The sequence below is a fragment of the Homo sapiens genome, chromosome X, assembly GCF_000001405.40.
Source record: "Homo sapiens chromosome X, GRCh38.p14 Primary Assembly".
In the NCBI taxonomy this organism is placed as follows: Eukaryota; Metazoa; Chordata; class Mammalia; order Primates; family Hominidae; genus Homo; species Homo sapiens.
This window is the reverse complement of record NC_000023.11, coordinates 46,738,535-46,758,049: the sequence shown is the minus strand read 5'-3', so window position 1 is coordinate 46,758,049 and position 19,515 is coordinate 46,738,535. Positions and strand designations below refer to the sequence as shown.

General features: G+C 39.5%; 1 protein-coding gene across 10 annotated transcripts in view; it reads left to right on the top strand.

The window, feature by feature from the left end:
* The window catches only part of SLC9A7 (solute carrier family 9 member A7), a 159,868-nt gene that overhangs the window by 1,069 nt on the left and 139,284 nt on the right, over window positions 1–19,515 (top strand). The window lies entirely within an intron of this gene.

Here is a 19,515-nt window from a genome sequence, read left to right as displayed (position 1 = left end):
AAAGTTATACCCAGTTACTTGCTTTCTCAAACGAAGAGGAGCTTTTGTATTCCTAAGACGGTAACAGGGAGTGAGTTTGAGATACATTTCCGAATGTATGAAGGGGAAAAGTCGTGGTTTTAATTCCGGAGTCAGCCATCTTTTGTTGTTAGGGGTGGGCTGATGCTACCATCCTTTTCTAGATTTAATGGTACACAGTGTGTTACATGCACAGTGGTCAGTACAAATCTCCCTTTATTACATGGATGTCAGCCATAATCTGAGTCATCCCTCTTCCTCTTCTGTGCCCCCTGCCTCCCCCCTCGCCCTGCCCATGACTCCAAAGTGGAGTCAGGTATTCTCTTTTTGAATGTAATTCAGTGGTGTTAAAGCCCCTGAATTGGCATCCTCACACGAAATAGACGAGCCACTTCATGATTGTTCCCAACGGGGAAAATTTTATTTTATCACATATACTGAGGGATTTCTTTATTCAGTTTCCATCCAGGTGCCCTGATAGAGAATGGAAAGCAGAAACCTTAACCTTTAATGTGAAAATTACCCTTGGTTCTGGGCCTTGCTTCTCATGTTTCTTGATTAGTTGTTGACAGCCGGGGCTCATGGCCACCAGGCCCTCGCAGCCAAACCGTGTAAGGGGCAAGCGCTGTTAAGAGCCCTCCAGTTTTGATGAAGTAGTGACCTACACAGATCTTGAAACAGGACCAGGTCTAAAACCGAGTTTGGTGATTGCGAATTATAGGTCTCAACACAGACTTTGGCCTCCATCCCTGACCGTTGTTGAGCTCTGTGGTTTGTGTCAGTTGGTGATAAATGACTGATGCCAGGCCTGCAGGTAAGCTGGGAGGTTTCCTGAGAAGACAGACAGGGGGGAATTGAAGCACGTGGTCATTGCAGGTGATTGACTCCAAGCCATGATGCAAATGAAAATTGCCTTTATATAGATAACCGTGAAAATATTTTTATTTAATAGGCCCTAGACCCAGTTTCTTAAAGGACAATGTGAAATAGGAGGTAGATTTGTCAGATTCGTAAACACATGCTCAAGGGATGGAAAATAAATGGGGATTTGAAAATATATTTTCTGGAGAGTACTCCGTGTTCTGAGGAGTTCAATCACCTTTATCTTAAGGCTTAAAGACAACAGTGGAATTTTCCTTTGCTGATACGTACTTTTAAAACTCACCTCCATCTTTCAGCCATTTGGTTGTGCTACAGTGTACTGTTTTATTTTGTGAACAATCAAGTTACAAATCTAGTGTAACTGATGGCTGTTCAGAAAAGGCAATATCATCTCAGCATTCCTGTGTAATTTTGTTCTATATCTTTGAGTATTAGTGTTTCTTTAAATGTATAAAGAAATTTAGTTTGTCAATATGTGATGTCTCAGGTTATGCCAAATATTAATATTTTAAGGACTGTCTGTAATTGTGAGAAAACATTTCTTCTTTCTCTCAGGTATGTTTGGTCTTCTACTGCAAGGTCCCCCTAATCTGAATTCTAATGTCATGTGATTAGCTAATTATTCATAGTATACTGAAGACTATTGGGATGGGGATTTTAAACTGATCTTAAAATTCAGTTTGCAAATCTTTTAAAAAATTGTCTGCATTTAAGATGTACAACATGATGTTTTGATAAACACAATGAAATGATTACTACTGTCAAGCAAATCTTTGAACACAAGTAAATCCAGTAAAGATTTTTCAAGACTTCTCTTTTTTAATAGTAAAAAATAAAATTTGATTTCTCTATATCAATAGAGGAAGTGAGTAATTGTCCTCTTGGCTCTGAATAAGGAACGACAAAAAGACCTAAGGAAACATTTTTAAAGTATCCACTGTGTGCTGGGAACCCAACTTAATTTCTGGAGGCAAACAATTTAACTTTTAAATGTTTATGAATGAAAGAGTTCAACTGTGAATTTCAAAACTCTTTATTTTGAGAAAAAGTTTTAAAATGTAATTTCTGCCACCTTTTTGTGTTTAAGTGACACTTTAATCTGAGAAGAACAGCGTTTACATTTAAGATAAATTTATATATATATAAATTTATATATTTGTTGGTATAGTCGTAAAATATCTCTGGAAGGACATGCAATAGATGAGTAACATTGGTTTCCTTGGGGGAGAGGAACTAGATGGCTGTGAAATAGGAGTGGGAGGGAGAGGTCACCATATAACCTTGTATGCTTCTTGGTCTTGTAATAGCTTTTTTTTTTTTTTTTTTCCAAGACGGAGTCTCACTCTGTCGCCCAGGCTTGAATGCAGTAGCGCAATCTCGGCTCACTGCAAACTCCACCTCCCGGATTCAAGCAATTCTTCATCTCAGCCTCCTGAGTAGCTGGGATTACAGGCGCCCGCCACCATGCCCGGCTAAATTTTGTATTTTTAGTAGAGATTGGGTTTCACCATCTTGGCCAGGCTGGTCTTGAACTCCTGACCTCCACCCACCTCAGCCTCCCAAAGTGCTGGGATTACAGGTGTGAGCCACCGCACCCGGCTGTAATAGCATTTTAACGTGCTCCTCAAATCACTCAATTTGACGCCTACTTCTCCCTATTTAAATCACATTATGTTATCAATTTTCTTCATGACTTTTCAATTCTTAATTGTGCCCTTGGAGCTTTTCTGAGCCCTGTGTCTGGGATGGAGATAAAATGGGGAAAGGGGAAGAGATTTCTCTCTCTCTCTCCCTCCCTCCCTCCCTCTCTCACCCTCTCTTTCCCACTCGCTCTCTCCCTCTTTTTCCTTCCCTTTATTCCATTATCCTCAGAGAGTAGTCAATGTTACATTAGCAGTGATGTGCACAAATAGACCCCATAATAAGTGCTTGCTTGGATGCAGAGGACCTAAGGAAAATAAAAGACACACTGTGAATGCTTAACGTTTAAACAGAAAGGAACTCCCCCACCCACCAAAGGACACTTATAAGCATTCCTCCCTGACAGGCCAGGGCAGCTACAAGGGAAGGTAGCTACAGACCTAACTCCCCAGGAAGGTTGAAAGCAGCCCCCAGACCCCACCACTGGAGCTGCAAGGCAGCGGGGCCAGGCACTTGCCTGCCACCAGTCTAACCTGTTTTGTCAGGCCAGGGAGCTCCCAGCTGTCTGTCTCTGTTATGTGATTAAGTGCCATCCTAAAGTTACTGGGCCCTACATGTCTTTGCAGCAGAAATAGAAAGTGTTTAGGGCAGGGAAAGTTGGTATAAACAGACTGTGCCAGTTCATTGTGGTTCTCTCTCAGATGTACGGTAGTTCCACTTCCCCCATAATGTTTTTGTGACAACTGATATGGATCCAAAATAATCTGACTCTGCCATGCTAACCCACCACCTGCTTCTCGCTTCCTCCTCCTCCACCACCCCATCACCTTTCCAAAAATATGTTGATCAGCCCCTCTAGGTTCTATGGGTTGTGGGCTCACTGTTGCTGTGGTGGAGCTGGATTGCTAAGCACAGCCTGAGAGTGGGCTCATAGGCAGAGTCTGAAGGGGAAAAAGATGACTCTTTGCGGTAACATGAAATTAACATTTGAACCTGTAAGCAAACATTTTGGAACCATCTCCTTCCTGGTTAATCAGGAGTCCCCCCTTTTAAGAGCCCCTCACTTTGGCCCCAGTTGGGAGCAGCTTCTGTATGGTCTCACTTTGGTACCAGATAACCCTGGGTTCAAATGCTGGCCCTGTTGCTTATAAAACTGTATAGCATTGGATAAACTCTCTGAGCCTTAGCTTCCTCTTTTGGAAAATGGAGATTATGTTACCTCACAGAATTGCTGTGTTATTGAGATATTCTAAAGGGTCAAGTGCAGTGTCTGACACTTAAGCACTTGGTAAATATTAGTTCCCATTCTCATTTTAGGCTTTGTGATTCTTTGGCAGGCTTTACTACTTGAGGTTTGTTCAGTAGTGGACTGTTGTAATTTTAAAATGCATTAGGACACAGTTAGTGGAAGTGAGGAAAATTGTATATTTTGGGGTGAGCTTTTGGTTAATACCTAGAAAAAAATTTACAACACACCTACCCTTTTAAAATTTTATTTATTATTATTATTATTATTATTATTTGAGACAGAGTCTCACTCTGTCGCCCAGGCTGGAGTGCAGTGGTGCGATCTCTGCTCACTGCAAGCTCCGCCTCCTGGGTTCATGCCATTCTCCTGCCTCAGCCTCCAGAGTAGCTGGGACTACAGGCACCCGCCACCATGCCCGGCTAATTCCTTTTTGTATTTTTAGTAGAGACGGGGTTTCACCATGTTAGCCAGGATGGTCTCAGTCTCCTGACCTTGTGATCCGCCCGCCTCAGCCTCCCAAAATGCTGGGATTACAGGCATGAGCCACCGTGCCCGGCCCACACCTACTCTTTTATTCAGCATTTTCAATTCTTGGACTTTCAGAAATCTATCAGAAATACTTGTGCTAGCATGTTGCAATATATAGACAGCAATATTTGTTGCAGTGGACATAAGTTGCAGAACTCATCAGATGAGACTGGTTAAATTGTAGCACATTCCCATTAAGGAATACTATGCAGCGATAAAAAGAGGTGTTTTGAGATGTCCTTTTAAGGCTACTGTCCACACATAATGTTGTGGAAAAAAAGCAAGGCACAGAACATCATGTATAGTATTATTCTATTTGATCTTTCAATAACTATATACTGTATATACACAAACATGATGTATGTAATTTATATATGATATATGTGCTTTTATGGAAGGATATGCAAGCTTTATCCTTTGGGAGCAGGATGAGTTGTTGGGAGAGAGAGAGGGGAGGTGGTACTTTTCCTTTATATTATTCTAAATGGCCTGAACTTTCTTTAATACTGACACATTACTTTTGCAATTTAAACATTATTTAAAAATGAAGCAAATAACTTATGTAGCAAAAAAATGCTTTATAAACAGAAGATTGTACTATGTGGTTACATAGCATTTTCCTTGGATTGTCGAAATGTTCTTTGTAAAGCGGTCTCTGGATATAAAGAATACTTTTACTTATTATTTGAAAGTTATAAATGGAAGTAAAATGTTTGTATCTTAAAAAATAGAAAAATGACATTTACTAAAAGCATTTCTTAGAATATTAAAAAGTTAACCTTTGTGGAACGCTGTAATTAGAAAAATCACAATTTTTCAACCTCTAGTGATAGTTTATTTAGACAAGGGTTTTCAATGAATTCCAGAATCCTAGGTGAAAGGTTATTGGGGAACATGGTACTTGCAAAGTACTATCACCCCACAGGTTACTTGCCTGTTGCAAAGAAAAGAAGGTACCTTTACAGTGAAGAGGTCTGGCAGTCACCATCTTATAAGCAAGTCATCAAATGTATCCTTGCTCATTGTGGGACTATCTAGTATCATGGTATACAGGAAGTGTACAGCTTTACCTATGTAGTATCCTTCCTGTATGTGTTTAATCTGAATCAAATCAAGGACTTAGACACATCTTCCAGTTTCCAGGAAATGCAGAGGATAGAGAAACAAGTTATAAAACACCATGAGAAAACAATCAGATAAATCCAATATATGGGATGATCTGTAAGACAGTTGCCCCAGACTCTTCAAAAAGTCAACGTCAAAGGAAACAAAAAGGCAGGGTGAGTGTTCTAGATTAAGGGAGGTCAAAGAGACTAAATGTAGTACGAGAAACTTGATTGGCTCCTAGTTCATGAAAATGAATTATAAAAGATGTTTTGGGGATAGGTAGGGATATTTGAATGTAGACTGGGTATTAGATGATATTAAAGAATTACTATTATTTTTTGTAGGTGTGATAATTGAGGTTATGCAGGAGAATGTACTCATTCTTTGGAGATGCAAGCTGAAGTATTCAGGGGTAAAGTATATGAATCCTAACATATGCAACTTTCAAAAAGTTCAGTAAAAAAATATACATACCACCTATATAGAGAAAACAAATATTGCAGCCTACTAGCTAACTGTTAAATGTAGGTGCCTAGTGAAAGGGTATGCTTTATATACTCTTCTTTCAACTTTTCTGTATGTTTTGACATTGTCATTAAGATGAAAGATTGGAAAAGAAGTTAATCCCCCTCTTAGCTTGCAACCTATTAACTTCCCTGCCTGGAAGATTGTACAGGTGAGGCTGTACACATCCTGTCTGTTACTCTCATTAAACTCTTTCTAGCACTGATTAACACTGTTTGACATTAGTTTACCTGAGGTGAAGTTAGGCTTACGTGACTTGAGAATCAGTAACTTCTTTCTTCTTTTTTTTTGAGACAGGGTCTCACTGTGTCATGCAGGCTGGAGTACAGTGGTGTAATCCTAGCTCACTGTAGCCTGGACTTCCTGGGCTCAAGTGATCCTCCCACCTCAGCCTCCTGAGTAGCTGGGACTACAGGTGCTCACCACTACGCCTGGCTAATTTTTTGGTATTTTTTGTAGAGACAGGGTTTCGCCATGTTGCCCAGGCTGATTTCGAACTCCTGCGCTCAAGCCATCCACCTGCCTCGGCTTCCTAAAATGCTGAGATTACAGGCATGAGCTGCTGCACCTGGCCAGTAACTTCTTTTTCATTTTACTTTTTGTTTGATTCTTAAGTTCATGTATTTTTTAAATTGCCTCTGTTTAACATACAAGAGAATATGTGTTAGGAGAATTTTCTCTTTTAGTTAAAGCATGCTACCTGGCTTTTAATCAATATGGGTATTTATATTAGAGTAATACTAGATGTTAAAACAAACCAACCCCAAATTTCAGTGACTTAACATAGGAGAAATTTGTTTTTCACGCATGTAATGGACCAGTGCAAGGGACTGGCAGGTGGCTGTCTCTACGTTGTGATTCAGGGACCAGATGCCTTCCATCTTGTGGCTTCCCCATCCCATATGGCCTTGGAATCCTCCTCCTCCAGTTGATGAATGAAGCAAGGAAATGAAGATCATATGGGGAAGACTTATGTGCTAAGCCTGGAAATGTTCTGCATCACTTTGCCCACTTCTGTTGGACAGAACTTGGTTACAAGGCCACATCTAACTGGAAGGGAGCCAGGGAAACATAGTCTAGTTGGAAGAAGAGGAACAGGTTTGGAAAGCAGCTAGCCAATCTCTATTGCAGTATTTGATGAGTACTTTGTTATACATAATCCAGAAAAGAGAAGTAATAGGATTTGCATGTGATTTGTGTGTACCACAGTTTACATACAAATGTAAAGGACACTGAAGGACATCTTGGTTGCTTCCAAGTTTGGGCAATTATGAATAAGAATATTTAAGTTTTCACCCTTCAAAAACATTCACTATGTTGTTTCTAATAAAATAATAGTAGAAAAAAATAGTAACTGTTTATTGAGCACCTGTTAGAATAGTCTGTCACCGTGTTAAGTACTTTGCATACGTTAAGCCATTTAACCTTCACATCAAATGTATGAAGATCAGGCTGGGTGTGGTGGCTCATGCCTGTAATTCTAGCACTTTGGGAGGCCGAAGCGGGAGGATTGCTTGAGCCCAGGAGTTGAAGACCAGCCTGGGCAACGTGGCAAAACCCTGTCTCTATTAAAAATATAAAAATTAGCTGGGCATGGTGGCATGTCCCTGTAGTCTCAGCTACTTGGGAGGCTGAGGCTGATGGAGGATTGCTTGAGCCTGGGAGGTCAAGGCTGCAGTGAGCTGTCATTGCAGCAATGCACTCCAGTTTGGGCAACAGAGTGAGACCCTGTCTCCAAAAAATAAAAATGTTTGAAGATCCTAATATTGGTCCCATTTTCCCAGGTAAAGAAATTGAAACCTAGGTCAAGTACCTCCTTTGTTTAAGGTCACATGTTTGAAATTGGGAAATTGGGATCTATTAAAGGATGAACTCAATATAGCTGAGGATGTATTTGGCCAGGATAGAGCAGAACCTGAATCCCGCCCATTACCACTTCCTAGGAGGTCTCTGAGGGAAATCTATGCCCAGAGTAGAAAACAAAGCAAAGTTGACCCTTTTTTTTTCTTTTTTCTTTTTGAGACAGAGTCTTGCTCTGTCCCCCAGGCTGGAGTGTAGTGGCACGGTCTCTGCTCATTGCAACCTCCGCCTCCTGGGTTCAAGCGATTCTCCTACCTCAGCCTCCCGACTAGCTGGGATTACAGGCATGCTCCACCACGCCTGGCTAATTTTTGTACTTTTAGTAGAGACGGGGTTTCACGATGTTGGCCAGGCTGGTCTCAAACTCCTGACCTCAAGTGATCTGCCCACCTCGGCCTCCCAAAGTGCTGGGATTACAGGTGTGACTACTGTGCCTGACCCAAAGTTGACTCTTTTATGTTAGCTAGGACTTTTGCTCTCAAGCTCCAGTGTAGAACAGTGAGGAATGAGGCAGGATGACAAGGAAAACTTAGTTTTCCTGTGCTAGATCAGCCTGGGGGCCTTGGATCCAAGTAGGAGCAAAATGCCTGCTCCTTTCAGCCCAAAGGTCACACTCCAGGTGTTATTCCATTGATATGACAGAAGGCTACCAGTGTTTTAGGGGAAAAAATGTTAAGAGCTGTTCAGAGTGGCAGCACCAGGCCTTCGTACATGAGAGTAGTTGCTTGAAAGCATTCTCATCTCTAGACCTCACTATCAGAGAGGTGGGGAGGCGGATAGGGTTGGGTCTGTGCAGCTCTCATGTCTCTCCACTCTATGCTAGTTGTGATGGGCATATCAGAATCTTCTGGAGAGCTTTTCCAAAATGCATTAGAATGTAAGCCCTGGGCAGACAGAGATATCTATCTTTTGTTTGTGCTGTCTCCCCAGACCCTAGAACAGTGCCTGACACCTAGTAGATGCTCCAGAAGTGTTTGTTTAGTGCATTCTATTTTGTCTATCAAAAAATAAGATGCTATAACGCTACCTAGCATTAAAGGTCCTTCCTTCAAGTTCTTCCCTCCCCTCCTCCTTCAAGTTCTTATGCCTCAGCTTCACACTGACAGTGAAGTTTCTGAGAAGGAAACCTTTGTGTGTGAAAACATTTGCCTGAATTGCAGCAGACTGTTTAAGGAAGGAGGATGAAGGAATAAATGAGTACACAAATAATGTGTGTTTGCAGAAAAGTATGTGTTTGGCTGATAAGTCACGTGGTAGTTGTTTATTTTTTTTTTGGTAAAATATACATAACATAAAACTTGCCGTTTTATCCATTTTTAACTGTATAATTTAATAACATTTATAATATTCACAAAGTTTTATGGCCATCTCCACTATTTCCAAAGATTTTTTATTGCCCCAAACAGAAACTCTTCCAGTTAAGTAGTAACTCCCCATCCACCCTTCCTTCTAGCCCCTAATAGTCTCTAATCTACCTTCTGACTTTATGAATTTGCCTATTCTAGATCATTCATATAAGTGAATTCATATAATATTTGTCTTTTGTGTCTGGCTTATTTCATTTGGCATAATGTTTTCAAGGTTCATCCATGTTGTATAGCCCATATATGAACTTCATTCCTTTCTGTGGCTGAATAATACTGCAGTGTGTGTGTGTGTGTGTGTGTGTGTGTACACGCACACACACACACACACTCCACATTTATCTGTTCATCAGTTGGTGGACACTCGGGTTATTTCCACCTTTTGAATAATGCTACTATGAACACTCACATAGAGGTATGTGTTAGAGTCCCTGTTTTGTTTTCCTTCCTTCTGTCTGTCCTTCCTTCCTTCCTTCCTTCCTTCCTTCCTTCCTTCCTTCCTTCCTTCCTTTCTTTCTTTTTTTTTTTTTTGACAGAGTTTCACTCTTGTTGCCCAGGCCGGAGTGCAATGGCGCAATCTCGGCTCACTGCAACTTCTGCCTCCCAGGTTCAAGCAGTTCTCCTGCCTCATCCTCCCAAGTAGCTGGGATTACAGGCATGTGCCACCACGCCCAGCTAATTTTGTATTTTTAGTAGAGATGGGGTTTCATCATGTTAGTCAGGCTGGTCTCGAACTCCTGACTTCAGGTGATTCACCCACCTCGGCCTCCCAAAGTGCTGGGATTACAGGCATGAGCCACTGTACCTGGCCATTTGTTTTCATTCCTTTTGGCTGTATACCTAGGAGTGGAATTGCTAGGTCATATGGTAATTCTATGTTTGACTTTTTGAGGAACCACCAAACTGTTTTCCACAGTAGCTGTACCATTTTGTATTCCCACCACAATGCACAAAGATTCTAATTTGTCCACATCCTCTTCAACACTTGTTGTTTTCCATTTAAAAAAAAATGATAGCCACCCTAGTAGGTGTGAAGTGGTATCTTGTTGTGGCTTTGACTTGTATTCCCCTAATGACTTATTTGTATTTCCCTTCATGTACTTTTTGGCTATCTGTATATTTTATTTGGAGAAATGTCTATTCAAATTCTTTGCCATTTTTAATCAGGGTTTTTTTGTCATTGAGTTATAGGAATTCTTTATATATTCTGAATATTAATCTCTGCCTCCTTCCATTATATTGTCATTGTCAAAGAGCAGATATTTATATATTGTGTGCTCATTAACATAGGTTTATAATTTTTTTTGCATTTGCTTTTTTAATCATGTAGGAAAAATGAGGAGTTTGAAACCCAAATTGTTATGTTTACCTGTTTTTTTAAAAACAATATTATTTTGTTTATAAACGAATTATTTCATGTTGCTTTATTTTAAAACAATTTAAAAATTGATGCATAATAGATGTACATAGTTTTGAGGTATGTTATAATTTAATAAATTTGTATAATTTGTGAAGATTAAATCAGTATATTTGAGATGCCCATCACCTTAAATATTTGTCTTTTCTATATGCTAGAAACATTTGCATTATTCCCTTCTAGCTATTTCAAAATGCACAGAGATTATTGTAAACTGTGGTCACCCTACTGATCTACCAAACACTAGGCTTTGTTTCTTCCACCAAACTGTATATGTGTACTCATTAATCACTTTCTCTTCGTCCCTCCTCCCTACCCTTCCTGGCCTCTGGTAACAACTAGTCTACTCTTTATCTTCATAAAATCCACTTTTCTGGCCCCCACATATGAGTGAGAGCATGTGATATTTATCTTTCTGTGCCTGGCTTATTTCACTTAACATAATGACCTCCAGTTCCATCCATCCTACTGTGAGCAAGAGGATTTCATTCTTTTTTATGGCTGAATAATATTCCATTGTGTATATATACCACATTTTCTTTATTCATTCGTCCATTAATGGGCACTTAGGTTGATTCCATATTTTGGTTATTGTGAACAATGCTGCAACAAACACAGGAGTGCACATGTTTCTTTATTATATTGATTTCCTTTGTTTTGGGTATATACCCAGTAAGTGGAATTGCTAGATCATGTGGTTGTTCTAGTTTTAGTTCTTGAGGAACCTCCAAACTGTTCTCCATAGTGATTGTATTAATATACATTCCCACCAACTGTGTATGAGGGTTCCCCTTTCTCCACATCCATGTTGTCATCTGTTGTTGCCTGTCTTCTTGATAAAAGCCGTTTTAACTGGGGTGAGATGATATAAAATTGTAGTTCTTATTTGCATTCCTCTGATGATTAGTGATGTTGAGCATTTTTTCATATGCTGGTTGGCCATTTATATGTCTTCTTTTGAGAAATGTTTATTTAAATCTTTTGCTCATTTTTAATAGGATTTTTTTTTTGCTGTTAAGTTGTTTGAGCTCCTTATATATTCTGGTTATTAATCTCTTGTTGGATGGATAGTTTGCAATTATTTTTTCCCATTCTGTGCACTGTTTTTTGTTTGTTTGTTTGTTTGTTTTGAGATGGTGTCTCGCTCTGTCGCCCAGCCTGGAGTGCAGTGGCACCATCTCTGCTTACTGCAACCTCTGCCTCCCGGGTTCAAGCGATTCTCCTGCCTCAGCCTCCCGAGTAGCTGGGATTACAGGTGCCCACCACCACGCCCAACTAATTTTTTTTTTGTATTTTCAGTAGAAATAGGGTTTTGCATGTTGACCAGGCTGGTCTCAAACTCCTGACCTCAAGAGATCTGCCCACCTTGGCCTCCCAAAGTGCTGGGATTACAGGCGTGAGCCACTGCGCCCGACCTGTTTTTTTTTTCTTGATTGTTTCCTTTGCTGTAGTACATTTTTCATTTAAGTTACTGTACTTTTTGGCTTCAGAATTCTAATGCTTCTTTTTTATAATTTCTGTCTCTTTACTGATATTCTTATTTTGTTCATACATTGTTTTCCTGGCTTCCTTTATTTATTTGTCTGTGGTTTCCTTTAGTTTTTTTTTTTTTTTAATAGAGACAGGGTCTCTGTCACCCAGGCTGGAGTGCAGTGGTGTAATTGCAGCTCACTATAACCTTGAACTCCTGGGCTCAAGTGATCCTTCTGCCTCAGTTTCCCAAGTAGATAGGACTACAGGCACATACCACCATGTTTGGCTAATTAAAAATTTTTTTTTTATAGAGACAAGTGCTTACTATGTTGCCTAGGCTGGTCTTGGACTCCTGGCCTTAAGCAATCCTCCTGCCTCAGCCTACCAAAGTGTTGGGATTACAGGCGTGAGCCACTGCCTTTCATTCATTAAGCATATTTAAGACAGCTGATTTAAAGTTTTCATCTCATATATCCAGTGTCTCAGCCTCCTCAGGGATAGTTTCTATCAATTTTTTTCCTTTGAATGGCCCATACTTTTCCTCCCAGGTAGCTGCAGGGTGTTTTTGTTAGTTTGTTTGTTTGGCCTACCTTACAACATTTTTCAAGCAATGCTTGCTGCTTGTCCGCTATGAGTGGGCTCCAAGTTAGGCAAAATGGAGATGAGAACCTCAAGTCATTCCTTTGGGTAGTCTTCAGACAGGTTAGAACAAACACAAAAAATTGCAAACAAGCCCTGCTCTGCTCCATCTGGAACCAGGGACCAGGGGATATTGGCTGCTGTGTTCAAGACCACTGCTGAGCTGGTGAGGGGGTGGGACAAGGGCAAGCAAAATGCCACACAGCCTTCCTGCCATTTTAAAGTTGCCTTGTTCTTGAGTCATTGTTCACTTGGTTGCTGTAAACCTTTGACTCTCTTCTAGAATTCTGACAAAATTGGCTCTGACAGCTTCTGCTTGTTTTTCAATGTTTCTGTGGAGGAATGGGAGTTTGGAGCTGTCTACTCTGCTATTTTGCTACACAGCCTTCCTACCATTTTAAAGTTGTCTTGTTCTTGAGTCATTGTTCACTTGGTTGCTGTAAACCTTTGACTCTTTTCTAGAATTCTGACAAAATTGGCTCTGACAGCTTCTGGTTGTTCTTCAATGTTTCTGTGGAGGGATGGGACTTTGGAGCTGTCTACTCTGCTATTTTGCTAATGCTCTTTACCAAACACGGTATTTTTAAAAAATTAAGATTCTGTATATCTTCAGAGACACTGCAACCTTTGGGGAAGAACAGTGTTAAGCGCTATGTTTTGTTAAACTTAACATGTTACTGAGATAGTAAATGTCCCAGAGGTAGTCTTTCAAATTGTATCATAGGCTCTTATCACATATTTTCACTGAGAAGCTAGAGATCGAGAAACATCTAACTAGTGTGTAACTTCAGGTTCATAGTCAACAAATTTTCTCCTTTTACTTCTTCATATCTACCCCTAAAACTAATTTTAGGTAAAGACACATTTACTTCAAATTGTCTTGGGTTATTAAAAGGATTGATTCTCAGATTACTTTTGTTGAGTGTAGAATGAACGAGGTGTAGCAGACTCCAGTTACCTCCCAATATCCATTGTTCCTTTCATTGTTCCAGTAGAACCCTGTTCTAATTAGCTCAGCATATTGCTGTGCAATAAGAAAACTACATTTCCTGGCCTGTCTTGCAGCTGGGTGTAGTTATGTGATCAAGTTCTGGCCAAAGGTAGGAGGAGAAGTATGTGGGATTTATGCAAAGTATTCTTAAAGGAAAGGGGCGTGCCCCTCTTCTACCATGCCTTCTGTCTGCTTCCTGGAATGTGGATGTAATGGCTAGAGCTCCAGCAGCTGTATTTGGTCAAGAGGTAACCGTGGGAATGGAGAACACTTCTGGCAATACAATAAAATAGATGACGCTGTAGTCTCTGATAGCATAGAGCTGCCATGCCAGATTTGGACTGAATACTTATGTATTTCTTATAAGTAAGAGAGAAATGGGTTTTTGTTATTTGCTGCTGAACCTGAATGTAACTTTTACATCAGGCACTGAGTTGCACTTGGAACTTGGGTGTGACATACAGGGCTGTTTTGAGGACTTGGTGCAGATGTTCGTACCTATGATGAATGTGGCACTGCTTGGGATTCTAGGGGAGGCCAAAGAGTAGACAGTACAGGGCCAGAGAAAGGATTTGAGGAAAAGATTCAGATTTAAAGTGTTGCTTATATTTGGGAACTTTGGGGCATCTAACAACTACCCATGCATTTGATGATGTGCCAGAAAGACTCACAGGATCCAGAGACAGTTGTATTAAAGCCATGACTTATTACAGTGAAAACATACACAGCAAGATCAGCAGGAGAAAAAGACATAATGGGTGGAGCCTGAAAGAGTAAATGTGAGCTTCCTAAGTTCTCCCTTAGGAGGTTGGGGGTGGGGCTGCATAGAACAAACTTTTTCCACCTGCAATTAAATGTAGCGGCACATATGCAGTGTTTCTGTTTAGGGAAGCTTGCTTAAGACACAGGCTTTTCTGTATTGAGGGCTGATCAGGCGTTCTTATTGAAATTTCTGAGTTTCAGAAGGAAAGCAGGTGTTCACCATAAATCACATTTGCAAAAGCAATTTAGCCTGGCTGGTACAGCAGAATTCAGTGTTCCAGGCACACAAAACAACCTTATCAATTAGTAGCATAGGTAATATCTCACAGGCCAAGTTCCCAGGACCTATTGGAATATGAGGTCATGCAGGCATGCCCTCCTAGAGATAGCAACATCAGGCCTGTTATATTAACTTTTTCCTGCAGAGTAATATGTGGTGTCAACTGGCTGTTAGCTTTTTGTGTTCTTGAGGCTTCCTCAGTTTCATCCACACTCTTATTTTTTTCATCATTACCTTTTTAGGCTCATTAATTTTTTTTTTTTGAGATGGGGTCTCACTGTGTCACCCAGGCTGGAGTGCAGTAGCATGATCACAGCTCACTGCAGCCTCACACTCCTGGATTCAAGTGATCTCCTGCCTCAGCCTCCTGAGTAGTTGGGATTACAGGTGCATGCCACCACGCCCGGCTAATTTTTAAGAACTTTTTGTAGAGATAGGATCTCACTGTGTTGCTCAGGCTGGTCTTGAATGCCTGGGCTCAAGTGATCCTCCCACCTTGGCCTCCCAATGTGTTGGGATTATAGGCATGAGCCACAACACCTGGTCAGATTTATTAATTTAATTTTTAACATTATCACAAGTAAAATTGACTTTTTACTTTTGATATACAGTTTTATGAATTTTAACATATAGATAGATAGATATGTGTAACCACCACCACAACCAAGATGAAGACTTGTTCCAGTGTAAAAAACTCTCTTGTACTACCACATCACTTGGACAACCACTGATCTAGTCTCCATCACTGTAATTTTGTCTTTTCAAATATGTCATATAAATGGAATTGTACAGTATGTAACATTTTGGGACTAGCCTTTTCACTCTTCATAATGCCTTGGAGATTCACCCTTGTTGTTGCATGTATCTATAATTAGGTCTTTTTTTTTTTCTCTGTGGGATTCCATTTTATGAATGTATCACAGTTTATTTGCCAGTTGAAGAACACTAGGCTTGTTTCGAGTTTTTGATAATTATGAATAGGGCTGCTATAAACATTACTGTACAGGTTTTTGTATGAATGTAAGTTTTTATTTTTCTATGGTAAATACCCAGGAATGGGATTGCTGGGTCAGAGGGTAGGCATATGTTTAACTTTATAAGAAACCTGCCGAACTGTTTTCTAGGGCAACTGTACATTCCATCTAGCAACATGTAAGAGTTTAGTGCTCCACATTCTCTTTAGAACTCGGTATTGTTAGCATTTTTAATTTTAGCTATTCTAATAGATGAATAGCAGTATCTCATTGTGGTTTTAATTTATATTTCCCTAATGTTGAATATATTTTCATGTGCTTATTTGTCATTTATATATCCTTTTTGGTGAAATGACTGAGTCTTTTGCCCATTTTTAAATTGTACTGTTGTTTTTCTTTGGAGTTTCGAGTGTTCTTTATATACTTTGATGGAAGTACTTCATTAGATGTGTAATTTGCAAATATTCTCTCCTAGCTTTGGGGTTTTTTTTTTCTTTTCAGTATCTTAACCATATCTTTTGGAGAGCAAAACTTTTAAATTTCGATGCAGTCCAATTTATCAACTTTTATTTATCATGCTTTTGGTGTCATGTCCAAAACTATATAATCCCAGGTTGAGAAGATTTTCTCCTATGTTTTCTCCTAAATGTTTTATGGTTTTGCATTTTATATTTAGATCTATGATTTATTTTGAGTTAATGTTTGTAGAAGGTATGAGGTTTAGGTTGAGTTTTTTTATGTATAGATGTTCAATTGTTCCAATATTTTTGATGTTCTTTTGTTCCAAAAGATTGTTGTTGACAATCTTTTCTTCACTGAATTACTGTCACAACATTGTCAAAAATCAATTGTCCATATTTGTGTGGATCTATTTCCGGACTTTCTATTTTATTCCACTGATCTGTGTATCTAGCTCTTTGCCAATACCACACCATCTTTCTTACTGCAGTTTTATAGAAGGTCTTAAAATTGGGTAGTGTGAATCCTCCAACCTTACTCTTTCTCAAAATTGTTTTAGCTGTTCTAGTTCCTTTGCCTTTCCATATACATTTTAGAGTCAGGTTGTCTCTACCTGCGGAATGTCTTGCTGGTACTTTGATTGGAATTGTATTGAATCTGTTAGTCAATTTGAGGAGAATGGACATTATTACTGTATTGGATTTTCTGATCCATGATCATTATATTTCTCTGCTTAGGACTTCTTTATCTCAAAAATGTTTTATAGTTTCAATGTACAGGTCTTACATATATTTAATGGACTTATCCTTAAGTATTTCACATTTGTGATGGTATTACATTTGATATTATTTTCATAATTTCAATTTCCAGTTGTTCATTGCTAATATATAGAAATACAATTAATTTTTATGTATGAGTCTTGTATCCTGTAACCTCACTAAACTCACTTGTTCGTTTTAGTAGCTTTTTTTTTTTTTGCTTATTTCATACATAGACAATCATGTCATCTGTGAATAAGGACAGTTTTATTTCCTTCTTTGCAATCTGGATGACTTTGATTCCCTTTTTCTTGCCTAATTGCATTGGTTAGAACCTCTAGTACAGTGTTGAATTAGAAGTGGTAGGGCCATAGTGGACATCCCTATCCTGTTACTGATTTTTGGGGAAAGCAAAGTTTTTCACCATTAAAGCTAGCTGTAGGTTTTATTTGTTTGTGGCTATTGTAAGTGGGGTTGCCTTCTTGATTTCTTTTTCTGCTAGTTCATTATAATGTATACATATACATATACAATGTATATATTACAATATATGGTCGATATATAGAAATGCTACTGCTTTTTAATGCTGATTTTGTATCCTGCAAATAAATTGAATTTGTTTATATCTAAGAGTTTTTTGGTGGAATCTTTAGGTTTTTCTAAATATAAGATTATGTCATTTGCCAAGAGGGATAATTTGACTTTTTTTCCAATTTGGATGCCTTTTATTTATTTCTCTTTTCTGATTGCTCTGGTCAGGAATTTCAGTACAATGTTGAATAGGAATGGCGAAAGTGGGCATCCTTGTCTTGTTCCAGTTCTTAGAGGAAAGGCTTTCAGCTTTTCCCCATTCAGTATGATGTTAGTTGTGGGTTTGTCATATATGGCCTTTAGGGAAGCTTTAATTTTATAAACGTGTTTTGATCTTTCTTGTTATTGTAATCCCCATATACATACACTCTGTCCTTTGGTATTTATTTTTCTTGAACTGTGGACTTCGTGTGTGTGTCTGTATGTTTATACAGTTAAGTATATGTAAATGTGTTTAAATACACATTTAAAACAAGTCTACCATGGACTATCTTTTTCTAGTCTAGGACTCTGTTGACTGCTGTACATTTTTGCTGCTGAGAGAACTAGGGGGAAAGAAAAGATTGCATTCATTAATAGAGTGGGCTATGAATGAGCCAGAATGATTCTCCCCAGTGGTATGAATAAGACAATTGTCTATTTTCAATGGCAGTGTTATGCTGAGTGTTTATGATGGCTCTGAAGAGAGACAGACAAGATGGTGATACTGTAGTGATTTTTATCCATTGTGGGAAAATCTGGTAAAGAGTCAAGGTCTGTTATAGCAGATGAAGTCCTCCCAGCAAAGTTGGGGAAAAAGAGACAGGTAGTTCAGTAGGAGACAACTGTTTACCAAGGCATTGGAAGAGCTGAGAAGCCAAACAGAGTGTGTTGAAGCAAGCTAAAGATGAGCAACAGCAGAAAGCTACTTTCATCCCTGGGGCTGACACAGGGAGAAGGTAGTATTACCAGAGCCCAGGAATGAGGTTGCCTGGCAAGAACAACTATTGTGAGGGCTGTTGGGACCTGGTCGGAGGGCTGTCTGATGGGAGCTTCAGCCATGGAGAACACATAGCCACCACCAGAGAGAGAGAGAGAGAGAGATGATAGGAGTCACTCCTTACCCTGTGACATGTGCAGAGCAAGAAAGGGCATAAAATGGATCCAAGGGCCAAGACTAGCATGAAGATTCTTCTTCAGATTGAATACCTATTCTGGTGTGTAGTATATCCAATACCTACATACAATATGGAAGGGAGGAAAAAAACTGTGTGGTCAGGGTCAAGAAGAACTAATATGTCTGTCACCAAACTCAGGGGGAAAGGAAATCAGGTATCGAGGCACAAGCTGGAACTGCTGTGGTAATATATGCCTGAAGGATGGGATGAGGTAATTATGACAAATTTCTCATTTAAAATATTAAGCATATGTGTTAAAAAACCTCACATCAGCTATTTTGTAAGCTTATCTGTCGTTGTTTTATTGAATTATTATATATTATTTAGGGAGAGGAAGTGGCGGTAGATATGGAGATAGAAGGAAGAACACTTTTTATAGTGTAAGTAATGTTGTAATTTAATATACACATTAATCTTTGTAGGCACAATGGTAGGTATTTCTGTAACAATGCCTTTTTTCAGAGAGCCACATTAACAGTGATACCCTGGTATCTCCAGGACCGTTTTTGATGAGTTTAGCCAGAGAAACTGTGCCCGGGGTGGGTACTAATCTCTCTGAATCAATGCTATTTGGTGTTTGTTTGTTTGTTTTGTTTTTTTTTTTTGAGATGGAGTCTTGCTCTGTCGCCCAGGCTGGAGTGGAGTGGCATGATCTCAGCTCATTGCAACCTTTGCCTCCTGGGCTCAAGCGATTCTTCTTTCTCAACCTCCCGAGTAGCTGGGACTACAGGCACGTGCCACCACACCTGGCTAATTTTTGTATTTTTAGTAGAGATGAGGTTTTGCCACGTTGGCCAGGCTGGTCTCGAACTCCTGACTTCAGGTGATCCACCCACCTTG